Below are 12610 nucleotides of genomic sequence, written 5' to 3'. Positions count from 1 at the left end.
GGAGAGAATGTTATCACCTCCTGTCCTCTGTCAGGCAAACTTCGTTCCACACACAGAATTTAGGGAGGGTTTTCACCCCTCTACCCAAAGCCTACATTAATGGCTAATGCTGCAGAATAATCTGGAACCTCAAATCATTAAATAATAAACCACATGTTAATTTCTAAGATTAAAAAGGTGCTTTGGTTTAATGTGAGCTGATCGTTTCCTTATCACAAGATGAAAATCACTAGCCAGGGCGTGGGGCTGTTTCTCAGGCAGCAACAAGTGCTGGCTTCAGCAACTGTGGAGCCAGGAATGAACCTGGGTTCCTGTGACAGAGGCTCTGGCTGAAGGGCCACAGCTGGGGACACAAATGCCCAGTCCTATACATTTCCAAAGAAAACACTGACTCTATGCCAATCATGTGCCTGGTAGCCCTCCTGCGTTAACCACATAGGAAAGTGAGCAGACACAGCCTGCTCAGACACTCAGATCTTCCATTCAGGTGGCCTCAGGAACACGTCAGTCCCCAGTGCTCCCACCTGGACCCTCACCCTCACCCTTCTGGTCAGGAGAACCCCTGACTTCTCTTTCCCACATTCCATTCTTCCCCTCCTCTTTGGAAATGTCCTGACAATGAGAAAAAAGCAAATCAAATATATCATTTGTTAATGTCTGCTTATCAATGTTTTCAGTCACTGCACGTAAGATGTATCTATTCTAACATATTATGAAAAGAATTCAACTGTGACTTTCAATCAAACAGGAACATTTAACCAACCTCCGTATGTGAGTAGGCCTCGGGGTTCTGCTGGTAAATTTTTGCAATTTGGTTCCCTGTAAAACGCTGGAAAAGGAATATAAATTCTTAGGAACCCAAATCCTACACAGAATGAACAATTACCTCCACAAAGTGAGTTTAATGTAGCATGCTCTGGATAGGAGTAGGTACCATAAAAGCTTTTAAAAGTAAGCCCCAACCAGGCACAGTAGTGTGCGCTTGTAATCCCAGCTACTCAGGAGGCTGAAGCGAGAGGAACTCTGGAGCCCAGGAGTCCAGCCTGGGCAACACAGTGAGACCTCGTTTCTAATAATTAAATATTTTAAAAATAAGCATTAAATCTGTTTGATATCTACTGAACAATGTGATCTTGGCCTTTGAATCCTTAAAATGTCCTTAGTAATCAAATACTCAGGCAGTAAACAATGGCTCTGCACCCACAGGATAGAGAAGTGAGTAACTTCTGGGCCTTCCTGGAGGGCCTCTCCCACATCAGGACTGGACAACCCTGAGTGAATAACCCTTGCTCTTCACACAGCACGGTGACTGTTCTGACCAAGCCACCAGGTGAGGGATCGGGGTATTTTCCCCACCCACATATTGTTATTTCAGGTGGCCCAAGTAGAGTTGGCCCTATCCCCAAAACTTCTACTCCAGCGAGGTCATGTAACCCAAGCTGGCCTAATCACAATCACCCCTGGGGACAAGGTTGAACCTGTGGAACAGAGACACTATTATTTTTTTTCCTTTTTTTTTTTTTTTTAACATTGCCAGGCACTACACTAAGTGCCTTACATGCACTGACTTCTTTCAGCTTCAAACCTACCCAAAACGTAAGTCCTGTTGTAATCCCCGGGTTACAAATAATGACAGGAGGTGCCTTCTCATTGAGGGGGTACCCTCACCCCCATGCACAGCACCTCCATGTCAGGAGCACAGCCATGTGCACACCCAGCCTGGCCTGGGAACACACAGGGCAGCAGGTGGCCTGGATCAGGACCCAGGGGCCAGAGTGCCTGTTGCTGGCTCCACAACACCTCCATGACCTCATGTGATCCCCCCAGAGGCAGGTCACCCACTATGCCTCCGGAGCTTGCAACCAGACCACCCCCTGCACCCCCCGCATCCTCAGCCTACCTCATAGGCACGGGACCCCGTGAGGCAGCTGAGAGCCTGAGCACCACCCACAGCAGCCTCCAGCTGGCGGCACTGGGCTGTGGTGCTGGAGTCCATCCACACCGGGCAGTCGCTGATGGAGAAACAGTCCTGGGAAGGAGGGCAAAGGCACAGGCTTAAGCTCCATCCGCTGACTTGGAGATCTGCCCCAGGGCTGGCGGTCACACTGCCCATCACGGCAGTCATGACGCTTCTTCCCAGGTGACCTTGGTTGGAGACACATGGGCCAGCCCTTTGTGCTGTAACTTAGAACTGGCCCAGTGGGGTCTCTCCCCAAAAGCCTGAGGTTGAAAGCTCTTCTGGTGAGGGCGCGTGAGCACAGCTGCAACACTGAGATGAGCAGGCTTCAGGACCCACAGGACTTGGGACTCTGCAGAAGTTTCTCACACTCACACAACGTAGCCACAGTTACCTGCAGCTGCTGGTGTAGCCGGAGGTCTGGTGATAAGCTTGTCAGTGCCTGCTGGGCTCCAGCCTTCCAGTATATACTTCCGTGTTGCTGTTGGGAAACCCAAGCACATGGTCACATGACCACACACCAGTGTCACAGCCTCCTGAAGACACAGAAAGACCCCAGACCACATGCCAAAGAACTGGGCTCCACACCTGCCCCTGCCACTTCTTAGTCACAGAGCTCATCACCCTCCTGGGACTTGGTTTCCACTTCAAGAAAATGGGGAGGAACTCTGCCCTGTCTACCCTACAACTTATAGAAAAGGTCCAAGAACTAATTATTGGTCTGGATTTTAATGCCTTTTGTAAAACTGCATTTAAAGACATTGCTTGTAATATTACCTGAAATTCATTTATTTATTCACTCACCCCATTCATTCATTCATTCATTCATTCAATGAACATTTATTAAGCACATAGATCATGCCAGGCTTGCGACAGATGAATAGGATACTTTCATCCCTATTCTTCAGGCTACTGGAGTTGAGTCAGGGAAAAGGACACAAATGTACAACTATAAAACCCTATGGAGCTGCAGTGACAGGGTCGTGGGAACAGAGGCACCTAACCAACTCGGGTACAGATGAGAGGAAGTGGTCATGAGTATCAGGAAATGGTCCTAGTGTGTGTTGCATGCAGAGAATCTGCAGGTGAGGGGCGCCAGGCAAGTCCCGGGATGAGTGGCATTCTAAGCAGTGGGCCTGAGGCTGGGTCGGGGGTGGGTGATGGGCTGAAGAGAGAGGGGACAGCCTGAGCACTGAGCCTGAAACCATGCTCAGGAGGCTGGGGTTTATCTTGGAGGTGGTAGGAACCCTGGATTACCAGGGGGAGCAGCGTGCACAGAGCTGAATGTATTAAAGGCTTGTGGGAGTCACGGGGAAGGTAGGCTGGAGGCAAGGAGGCTGCGGTAGAGACCTGGAGAAGAATGACAAGCAGATAGCGCTGGAGAAGAGATGGTAGAGTCAAGAGTCACAGACAAATCAGTGGGACGTGAGGACCCTTGGATGTGGGGTGGGAAGGTGGAGGAGGCAGGGATGACACTTGAGTTGTGCCCTGGGTGGATGGGGAGAATTCCCTGAGAAAGAGAACCCAGAAAGGAGGAGGTCTGAAGGGAGACAGAACTCAGTCTGGGACATGCTAAGTCTGAGGCATCTGTGGGATATCCAGCCATGGGGGTCGGGGATTAGCTAGGAGGGAGATGGGTGTCCAGGCCTGGGATTCGGGAGAGAGAAGTGGACAAGATCACCCAGGGAATCTCTGTTGTGTTTAACAAGAACCAAAACAATAAATTCCTGTTAGGTCATGGAGGAAGAAGCATCTTCAGAAAAATTAGTTACATCCTAGTGAGGATTTGAAAATACAGTAATCCAGCATGGAGAAAAGTGATCCCAGCACAGCCAAGGGACTGAATGAGATAGACTCAGGTCCTGACTCCCACTCCCAGCACTGTGTGATCTTGGGTAAGTGACATCACCTCTCCGTGCCTCATGTAAATATCAACGATAATAACAGAAGCCCAAGCTTTAATAATGTTTACTGCGTATTAATAGGAGGCACTGTGCTATGTACTTACACTCACAATGACCCTATGACAGATGAGAATACGGGGGCACCAGAAAGCCAGATGACGTATCCCAGGTCACTGCCTGTAAATGGCAGAGCCAGGGATCAAACCCAGACAGTATGCCCTGAGTGTGTACCAAGCACTCCACAGCACCACCCTGTAGAATCATAAGGATTAAGTTGGATGACATCTGGAAAGGCCTCAGAGTTGTATCTGGCATGCACTAAGTGCTCAGTCAATGTCCTCTGATATCATTATTAATACTCTTCCTTCTACTGAAACTACTATCATTATTAGGATCATTTTTGACTTTGCTTTTACTTTCAGGAAATAGAAAAGCAATTGTGGTGCCCCCAAGCAGTCATAATAAATTCATGTCAATTGCTTCCTCCATCCCCTTCAGAGGAACTCAGTTCTCTCACCAAGCGTCCTATTTTATATAATACTTACTCCTAAGAACTGTCTCAGATCCTTTTGCAACGAGACAAGTTATACAGTCTCCAAAGTAAAATAGTTGTAGGGATTTTTATTCACAGTGAAATTTGTGCAGTGGCTGTCAAGAATGAGCCGCTCCCCATCCAAGGGTTGCCATCTCTTCAACACCCACACCATTGCCCAGGACAGTCACCCTCACATGGCAGACAGAGTCTGCTGCAAACGAACCTGGCCCGCCCCGGACAAGGCTAGGACTTGAGAGAAGTCGAAGCCCGAAGCCTTCATCTTCTCCAAGATGATATCCAGTGCCTAAGAAGAAAAACAGAACCCACCATGACTGTACAGAACCACTGAATCAGACACGCAAGCCTCAGAATTGAAACGCAAGTGCCTGCCATTACAGCAGAGTACTCTGGGCAGATGATGAAGAAACTCATGACTTGGGATTTGTAAGCACTAGAGTACATTAATTAAACAAGTAGGCATCAATCAAATAAAAAGGTCAACTATGCTAAAAATATTTTAAATAAATGGAATCATAAACCACCAATCCTCAAATTTTACTTCTCCATTTTTTTTTCTTCGAGACAGGGTCTCGCTCTGGTTCCCAGACTGAAATGGAGTGGCGCAATCTCAGCTCACTGCAGCCTCAACCTCCCAGGCCCAAGTGATCCTTCCATCTCAGCCTCCCAAGTGGCTGGAACTACGGGTGCATGCCATCACCTCACACCTGTAATCCCAGCACTTTTGGAGGCCAAGGCAGGAGGATCACTTGAGCTCAGGAGTTCAAGACCAGTGTGGGCAACATAATGAGATCCCATCTCTACAAAAAATGAAAAATTTAGCTGGGTGTGGTGGCATGAGCCTGTAATCCCAGCTACTCAGGAGGCTGAGGAGGGAGGATACCTGAGCCCAGGAGATTGAGGCTATAGTGAGCCATGATCACACCACTGCACTCCAGCCTGGGCAACACAGTGAGACCTTGTCTCAAAAACTAACAAAGTAAGGCAGCCAACTTTTGCCTTCTTTTATTTGCATTTTCAACCCTCTATATTAGTGATCTGACTTCACTGCAACAGGGAAGTGAAGAGCAAAGGAGAGAGCTCCCGTGAGAGCAAAGCATCAGGCCCAGACTCCCTGTGTCCAGGAGCCAGAGGCTGGAGGGAGTGGATAGAGATGATGGCCACCTGTTCCAGGCCCCTATTCCAGCCTCCACTGTCTGGTTGGACCCTCCTTTCTAGCAAAACCCAGTGAGTGGGATGGATGGTGGTGCCCAGCAGAGCTTGGCACCACCCTCCTAAGATTTCATGGCAGGAATTAGAGATTCACTCTGACCTGTGTTTTCCTGAGGGCAGAGAAGACTCTCTCACTTTTGCCTGACTCCACCACCCCCAGCCTTTGCTGGGAGGGCTTCTTTCAGCCCTGGCTGTGGCTGCCATCTCTATCTGTGCCCATCAAACCTTGGGCAGGCAGTGGGGTGCAGCCGGAGCAGGGGCTGGCAGAGCTAGGATCAAGTTTGGTCCTGGAGGCTGCGTCAGATCAGAAATCACCTTGGCCCTGCCCCCAAGCCTGGTTCTCACCCACTGCTCACCTCCCCAGGTGAAGGCCTTGGCCTATGAGATGCCCTCGACATCATCACTGGGACCTCCTGACACTGACCATTGTCTCTAACCCCCGACCCTCCCACTCTGCCCCTTGGTCTGGCTCAGCCCCCTCTGAAGTACATTCTAGCCAGTTTATCTGGATAAAATCCATCCTTTACCCCAATTCTCCAGTGTATGAATCAGGGTTACACCAATAAAAAAGAAATCATACCAGTTATTTTGAACAAAAAGAATGTAATATAGGGAATTGGTTAGATAGGTATTGGAGGACTGAAAAAAGCTTTTGGAAGACACACACTTAGCTGGCCTCCAGTTTCAGGGACTCGGGGACCCTGCAGCATATGATGAGGTAGCCCCTGGAGCTACCACGCCTGTCTATGCTGTCCACATCCCTGCTCCTGTGGCCCCCTAGGTCACCAGATCCTGCTACAGGCATTCTCCTTTCCTGTTGATCCTCAGCAGGCAGGCCTGGCTTGGCATTGATATGAGTCTGACTGGCCAGGCCATAACTTGCCATTCTAGGTGATTAGGGAGCTAAGGGATCTTGGAGGCTGAGCACTAAGACCCTAAGGGCTATGTTTGTATTTCTTTTTTTTCTTTTTTTTTGAGATGGAGTTTCACTCTTGTTATCCAGGCTGGAGTGCAATGGTGCAGTCTCAGCTCACTGCAACCTCCACCTCCCAAGTTCAAGTGATTCTCCTACCTCAGCCTCCTGAGTAGCTGGGATTACAAGCATGGGCCACCACGCCCGGCTAATTTTTTGTATTTTTAGTAGAGACAAGGTTTCACCATGTTGGCCAGGCTGGTCTTGAACCCCTGACCTCAGGTGATCCACCTGCCTCGGCCTCCCAAAGTGCTGGGATTACAGGCATGAGCCACCATGCCCAGTCTATGTTTGTATATTTCATGGTACAAGGGAGGCCACAGGGCCTGACTGCAGATGTTTGGAAAAGATTTGCTCTGTGTTATTTTAAAGGTGGTTAATGGCAGGACTTGCCATCTGCTGTAGCTCCAGTACCTGGAAGTTTTTTGTAAGTCCTCTGAGCCTGGGAGTGTTGACACCAGCTGAGGCTGAGCCTGATCCCAGGAGTCATGCCAACTCCACCTTCCCATGAGGACCTGGTGACAACAGATGCTCTCATTGGCTGCCACCTTTGGACTTCCTAGCAAATCACCGAGTCTGCCAGTGAGACAGCCTGGGGATAGAAGGAGAATAGGAATCCCTGCGCTTACCTGGACCCACATTAGTACTGGAGAAGTGACCGTCAGCCCATCCTTGTGCACATGAACACCACCCTGAGTCCTGCAAGAACAACAGAGAATGTAGACCAGAGCCTCAGGGCAGGCAGACCATTGCAAAGCCAGGAGAAACCCTATGGTGGATGACTCTGGAAATGTCCAGATGAAGGAGAACCTTCCCCAACCCCAAGTGGGAACTGTTGATTGAACAGGCACGAGGGCTGCAAAGATGGAAAGAGAAGACAGGCAAATTGCCCAGAGTGGCCCAGATGTGGCAATTCTCAGAAGCATCTTCTAAAGAAGCCTTCTAGATAAGAAAGGCTCACCCTAGGGGAGTGCAGTGTTGGATTATAAAATCCCTCTCAAGCCCCATAGGTTTGGAGAGGTAGAGGAGGGGCAGCCACACAGAGATGCTGCGTCGGAGGGAAGAGTGTCTCTACTATCACAACAGACCAACAAGTCCTTGGACTACAGGCTTTGGAAGTTTGACTGGAACCCTCTCCCCACCCACCTCACCCCTAGAAGACTCTAGTGCAAAGAGCTGATCTGATAAAATCCAACCCTTTTAACTATGTGTTAGGAAAGAGAAAACCAGGCTCAGAATCCACACCAAGATGCTATTAGATAACCATGTGATCTAGCCATTCAATTCCTAAGTATCCAGCCAAGAGAAATGAAAGTCTAAGCCCATAGAAAGATTTGTACACAAATATTCATAGCAGACTTATTTGTAATAATTAACTGGAGTCAACCCAGTGTCCCTAAACAAGTGAACAGATAAATCGTGGTGTATATTTGTGATATCATACTACAGAGCAAGAAAAAATATGAACTATTCATATGTACACAATTATAACTTATATAGGAACAGACTAGAAGACGCAAATTCATCTATACTGAGAAAAGGAGATCAGTGGTTGTCTAAGTCTAGTGGGTGCTGGGAACAGGCCCTAAGCCTGTCATAAACAGGCCTTAAAGAAACTGGCCATAAACAGGATTTCTGCAGCAATGTGACATGTTCCCGATGGCTATGACACTCACACTGGAGGTTGCTGGTTTACCGGAATGAGGGCAAGGAACACCTGGCCCATCCAGGGCGGAAAACCACTCAAGGCATTCCTAAACCACAAACAATGGCATAAGCGATCTGTGCCTTACGGACATGTTCCTGCTGCAGATAATCAGCCACAGCCTGTTTCTCTGCTTCTTGAAAAGAATGCTTTGTTTCCCATAAGAAATGCTTTCAGCTAATCTATAATCTTTAGAAACAATGTTTATCACAGGCTTACTGTCAATAAATATGTGGGCAAAACTCTGTTTGTGGCTCTCAGCTCTAAAGGCTTTTAGCCGATTCCCACACTGCACTTTATTTCTGGGTCTTTGTCTTCATTCCTCTAGTGCTGGTGCGTTGGAGTCTCCACAACCGAGCTTGTCTCGGTAAGCAGGGAAAAAAGCGATCTTTTGGGGGGTGATATAAACATTCTGTATCTTGATTGTGGTGGTAGTTTCACAGCTATAGGTCTATATCTGGCAAAGTACCTTTAATTATACATTTTTAATGGATGGCATTTTTTGTACATAAATTATACTCAATAATATGGATTTTTTAAAAAGATACTACTAGGGAAAAAGAGGAAGAGAGCAACAAAATTTTACTACAGACAATAAAAGCTCACCAAAAAATGTTGCCTTCACAAAACAGATAAAAACTGTAACCAGACATTCTGCCATGTATTTAACAACTTAAAACTGGCATTTCGGCTGGGCACGGTGGCTCATACCTATAATCCCAGTGCTTTGGGAGGCCAAGGCAGGCAGATCACCTGAAGTCGGGAGTTCAAGACCAACCTGGCCAATATGGTGAAACCCCATCTCTACAAAAATACAAAAATTAGCCAGGCATGGTGGAGGGCACCTGTAATCCCAGCTACTTGGGAGACTAAGGTGGGAGAATTGTTTGAACCCAGGAGGCGGAGGATGCAATGAGCTGAGATCTTGCCACTGCACTCCAGCCTGGGTGCAACAGAGCAAGGCTCTGTCTCAAACACACACACACACACACACACACACACACACACACACACACACACACAAAACAAAACTGGCATTTCCAGCTAAGAAGGAAGACCAGAGCCACCCCATGCCCCAAAAGCACCAGGCCCAAATGGTTTGACAGAAAAATTATACCAAACTTTTAAATAGCAAATATTTCTAATACTATTTAAATTGTTCTAGAGCACCTGAAAAGAAGGAAAATTTTTCCAATTATTTTAGTGAAGTAAATATAAAATTGATACCAAAACCTAACCAATACTGCACCAAAGCACAAATAGCAAAAGGAAAAAAGTAGGAAGATTAGACTTTATCAAAATTAAAAACATTGCTTCAAAGGATCATCAAGAAAGTGAAAAGACAACCCACAGAATGGGACAAAAATTTTGAGATCACATATCTAACAAGGGACTTGTTTCCAGAATATACATTAAAAAAAACTTTTACAACTCAATAATAAAAGAGAAATAACACAGTTTTTTTTTAAAAAAGGGCAAAAGATCTTAATAGACATTTCTCTAAAGAAGATACACAAATGGCAAAGATACTCAACATCATTATTATCATTAGATAAATGCAAATCAAAAGCACAGTGAGATTGCATTTCACATCCACTAGGATGGCTGCCGTCTGTAATTAAAAAGACAGTCAATAATAAATGTTAAGCAAGGATGCGGTGGCTCACGCCTGTAATCCCAGCACTTTGGGAGGCCGAGGCGGGCGGATCACAAGGTCAGGAGATCGAGACCATCCTGGCTAACACGGTGAAACCCCATCTCTACTAAAAATACAAAAAATTAGCCAGGCGTGGTGGCGGGTGCCTGTAGTTCCAGCTACTAGGGAGGCTGAGACAGGAGAATGGCATGAACCCAGGAGGTGGAGCTTGCAGTGAGCCGAGATCACGCCACTGCACTCCAGCCTGGGTGACAGAGCAAGACTCCATCTCAAAAAAAAAAAAGGATGTAGAGAAACTAGAGGCACCATCTACCACTGGTGGGAATGGAAAATAGTACAGCCACTTTGGAAAACAGTTTGGCAATTCTTCAAAATGTTGAACACAGAGTTACCATGTGACCCCGCAATTCCAATTTTAGGTAATATACCCAATAGAAATGAAAATATATGTCCACACAAAAACGTATACATTGTATTAGTTTGCTCAGGTTGCTATAACAAAATACCATAAACTAGATGGTTTAAACAACAGGCATTTATTTTCTCACAGTTCTGGAGGCTAGAAGTCCACAATTAAGGTGCCAGCAAATTCAGTTTCTGGTTAGGGCTCTCTTTCCAGCTTGCAGACAGCCGCCTTCTCACAAGGCCTTTCCTCTGTGCATCTGCGCATGAAGTGGGATAGCACTGGTGTCTCTCCTTCTTATAAGGAAACAGGTCCTATCAAATTAGAGCCCCACCCTTACAACCTCATTTAACCTTAATTATCTACCTAAAGGCCTCACCTCCAAATATACTGTCATGATGAGGGTAGGCTTCCAACATATGAATTCTGGGGGGCCACAATTCAATCCATAACATATGTGGATGTTCATAGCAGAATAACTCACAATAGCAAAAAAGCAGAACAACTCAAATGTCTAAAAGTTGAATGGAAAAACAAACTCTGATATATCAATGCAATGGAATATTACTGAACCACAAAAAGGAATGAAGTACTGACACACGCTATGACATGGATGAACTTTGAAAACATTATGCCAGGTATCTGGTTCAAGTTGGTATTTGAAATAAACAAAAAGCTATGAAAATTTTTTAAAAAGAAAGCATTATGCTAAGTAAAAGAAGGCTGTCACATATTATATATATTCATGTCTACGAAATGTCCAGAATCAGCAAATCCAGAGATAGAGAGTTGATTGTGGTTGCCACTACTGGCAGGAGGGGGACTATACAGTGGATGCTAATTAATACAGGGTTTCCTTTCCAGGTGGTGAAAATGTTCTAAGATTACATAGTGGTGATAGTGATATTGTTCTTTGAATATACTAAAACCATCAAATTGTACATTTTAAAAGGTGAATTTTATGGTATGTGAATTACATTTCAATAGAAACAGTATTTTCTCTTTCTTTTTTTTTTTTTTTTGAGACAGAGTCTTGCTCTGTCACCCAGGCTGGAGTGCAGTGGCATTATCTCGGCTCACTACAAACTCTGCCTCCCAGGTTCACGCCATTCTCCTGCCTCAGCCTCCCGAGTAGCTGGGACTACAGGCGCCCGGCACCAAGCCTGGCTAAATTTTTGTATTTTTAGTAGAGACGGGGTTTCACTGCATTAGCCAGGATGGTCTCGATCTCCTGACCTCGTGATGTGCCCGCCTCTGTAATCCCAAAGTGCTGGGATTACAGGCGTGAGCGACCACACCTGGCCCCAGTATTTTCTTTAAAAAAAGGATATGAGGGAAAAAATTATATTAGTTAAGGAAAAACACATTTCTATGGCTTGATACAGCTGAAGTTTCTTTCTCCTCATGTAAAGCACAATCAGTAGGTGGTTAGGAACATGAGTGGGGAGTGGGGAGTTCTGCTCCATGCAGTCATTCAGGAACCAGGTTGATGGTGGCTCTGTCATGTTCCACATGTGCTTCCAAGGTTGCTCTGGACACCCACATCAGCCAAAAATGGGAGAAAAGTCAGAGAAGGAGGTTTTGATGGACTAGGTCTTTTAGAGGCCTGATCACATTTTCTTATATTCCACTGGCTAGAACTCAGTCACATGGCTGAACATAACTACAAGGAAGGCAGGAGAGTGCCTAGGAAGAAAGGGAAATGAGTTTGGAAGACAGCTGATAAGTTTCTGCTAGAAACCTCCCTTCCCCACTTACAGTAGTAAAAGGATAAAAAAGTTAGAAATAAACTTAAAAATAATTATCTACATTGGGTAATTTCTGCATTGTCACAAACCACTTCAAAACTTAGTGGCTCAAAACCATTAAGCTCACAATTCTACTTGCTATCATTGGATGGGGCTCAGCTGGGCTCACTCATACATCTGCAGTCAGTTAACGGTAGCTAGAAGGCTCTGCTTCATAGGTAGCTAACAGTAGCTAGGGGCTGGCTGGCTCTTAGGGGAAGAAGTTGGGGCAACTAGGCCACATATGTCCAACTCTCCAGCAGTATAGCCTGAGCTTGTTCATTTGGTGGCTAGGCAGAGTTCCAAGAATGACAGCAGAAGCACATAAGGCTGCTTGAGGCTTAGGCTTAGAACTGGCACAATGCCACTTCCCCTGTTCTACTGGATAAAGCAAATCAACAGGTAGGGAAACGACTCCTTGATGGGAGGAATTACAGTCACATTGCAAAGGGTGTGGGT

At 46.2% G+C, this 12610-nt stretch overlaps 1 protein-coding gene across 18 annotated transcripts in view; it reads right to left on the bottom strand.

Annotated features, from left to right (window-relative positions):
* Nucleotides 1–12610, bottom strand: part of XYLB (xylulokinase) — a 106257-nt gene that overhangs the window by 85405 nt on the left and 8242 nt on the right. For 12 of the 18 annotated variants that reach the window (XR_001740394.3, XR_001740393.3, XM_011534327.3 and 9 more), the window contains exons 3-7: nt 7229–7298; nt 4620–4700; nt 2352–2438; nt 1901–2029; nt 764–829 (exon numbers count right to left, since the gene is read on the bottom strand). Coding sequence is in view for 15 of the 18 variants with exons in the window: in XM_011534327.3 (XP_011532629.1) it covers nt 764–829; nt 1901–2029; nt 2352–2438; nt 4620–4700; nt 7229–7298 (433 nt within the window). In the remaining 3 variants the exon portion in view is untranslated. Of the gene's footprint in view, nt 1–763; nt 830–1900; nt 2030–2351; nt 2439–4619; nt 4701–7228; nt 7299–10478; nt 11896–12610 lie in introns of those variants that run through there. The other 6 variants (NR_146068.2, NM_001349179.2, XM_047449382.1 and 3 more) reach the window with 4 other exon arrangements.

Source organism: Homo sapiens, chromosome 3, assembly GCF_000001405.40.
Source record: "Homo sapiens chromosome 3, GRCh38.p14 Primary Assembly".
Lineage (NCBI taxonomy): Eukaryota > Metazoa > Chordata > Mammalia > Primates > Hominidae > Homo > Homo sapiens.
Note: the sequence above shows the minus strand (reverse complement) of the source record. Positions and strands in the feature narration are given on the sequence as shown.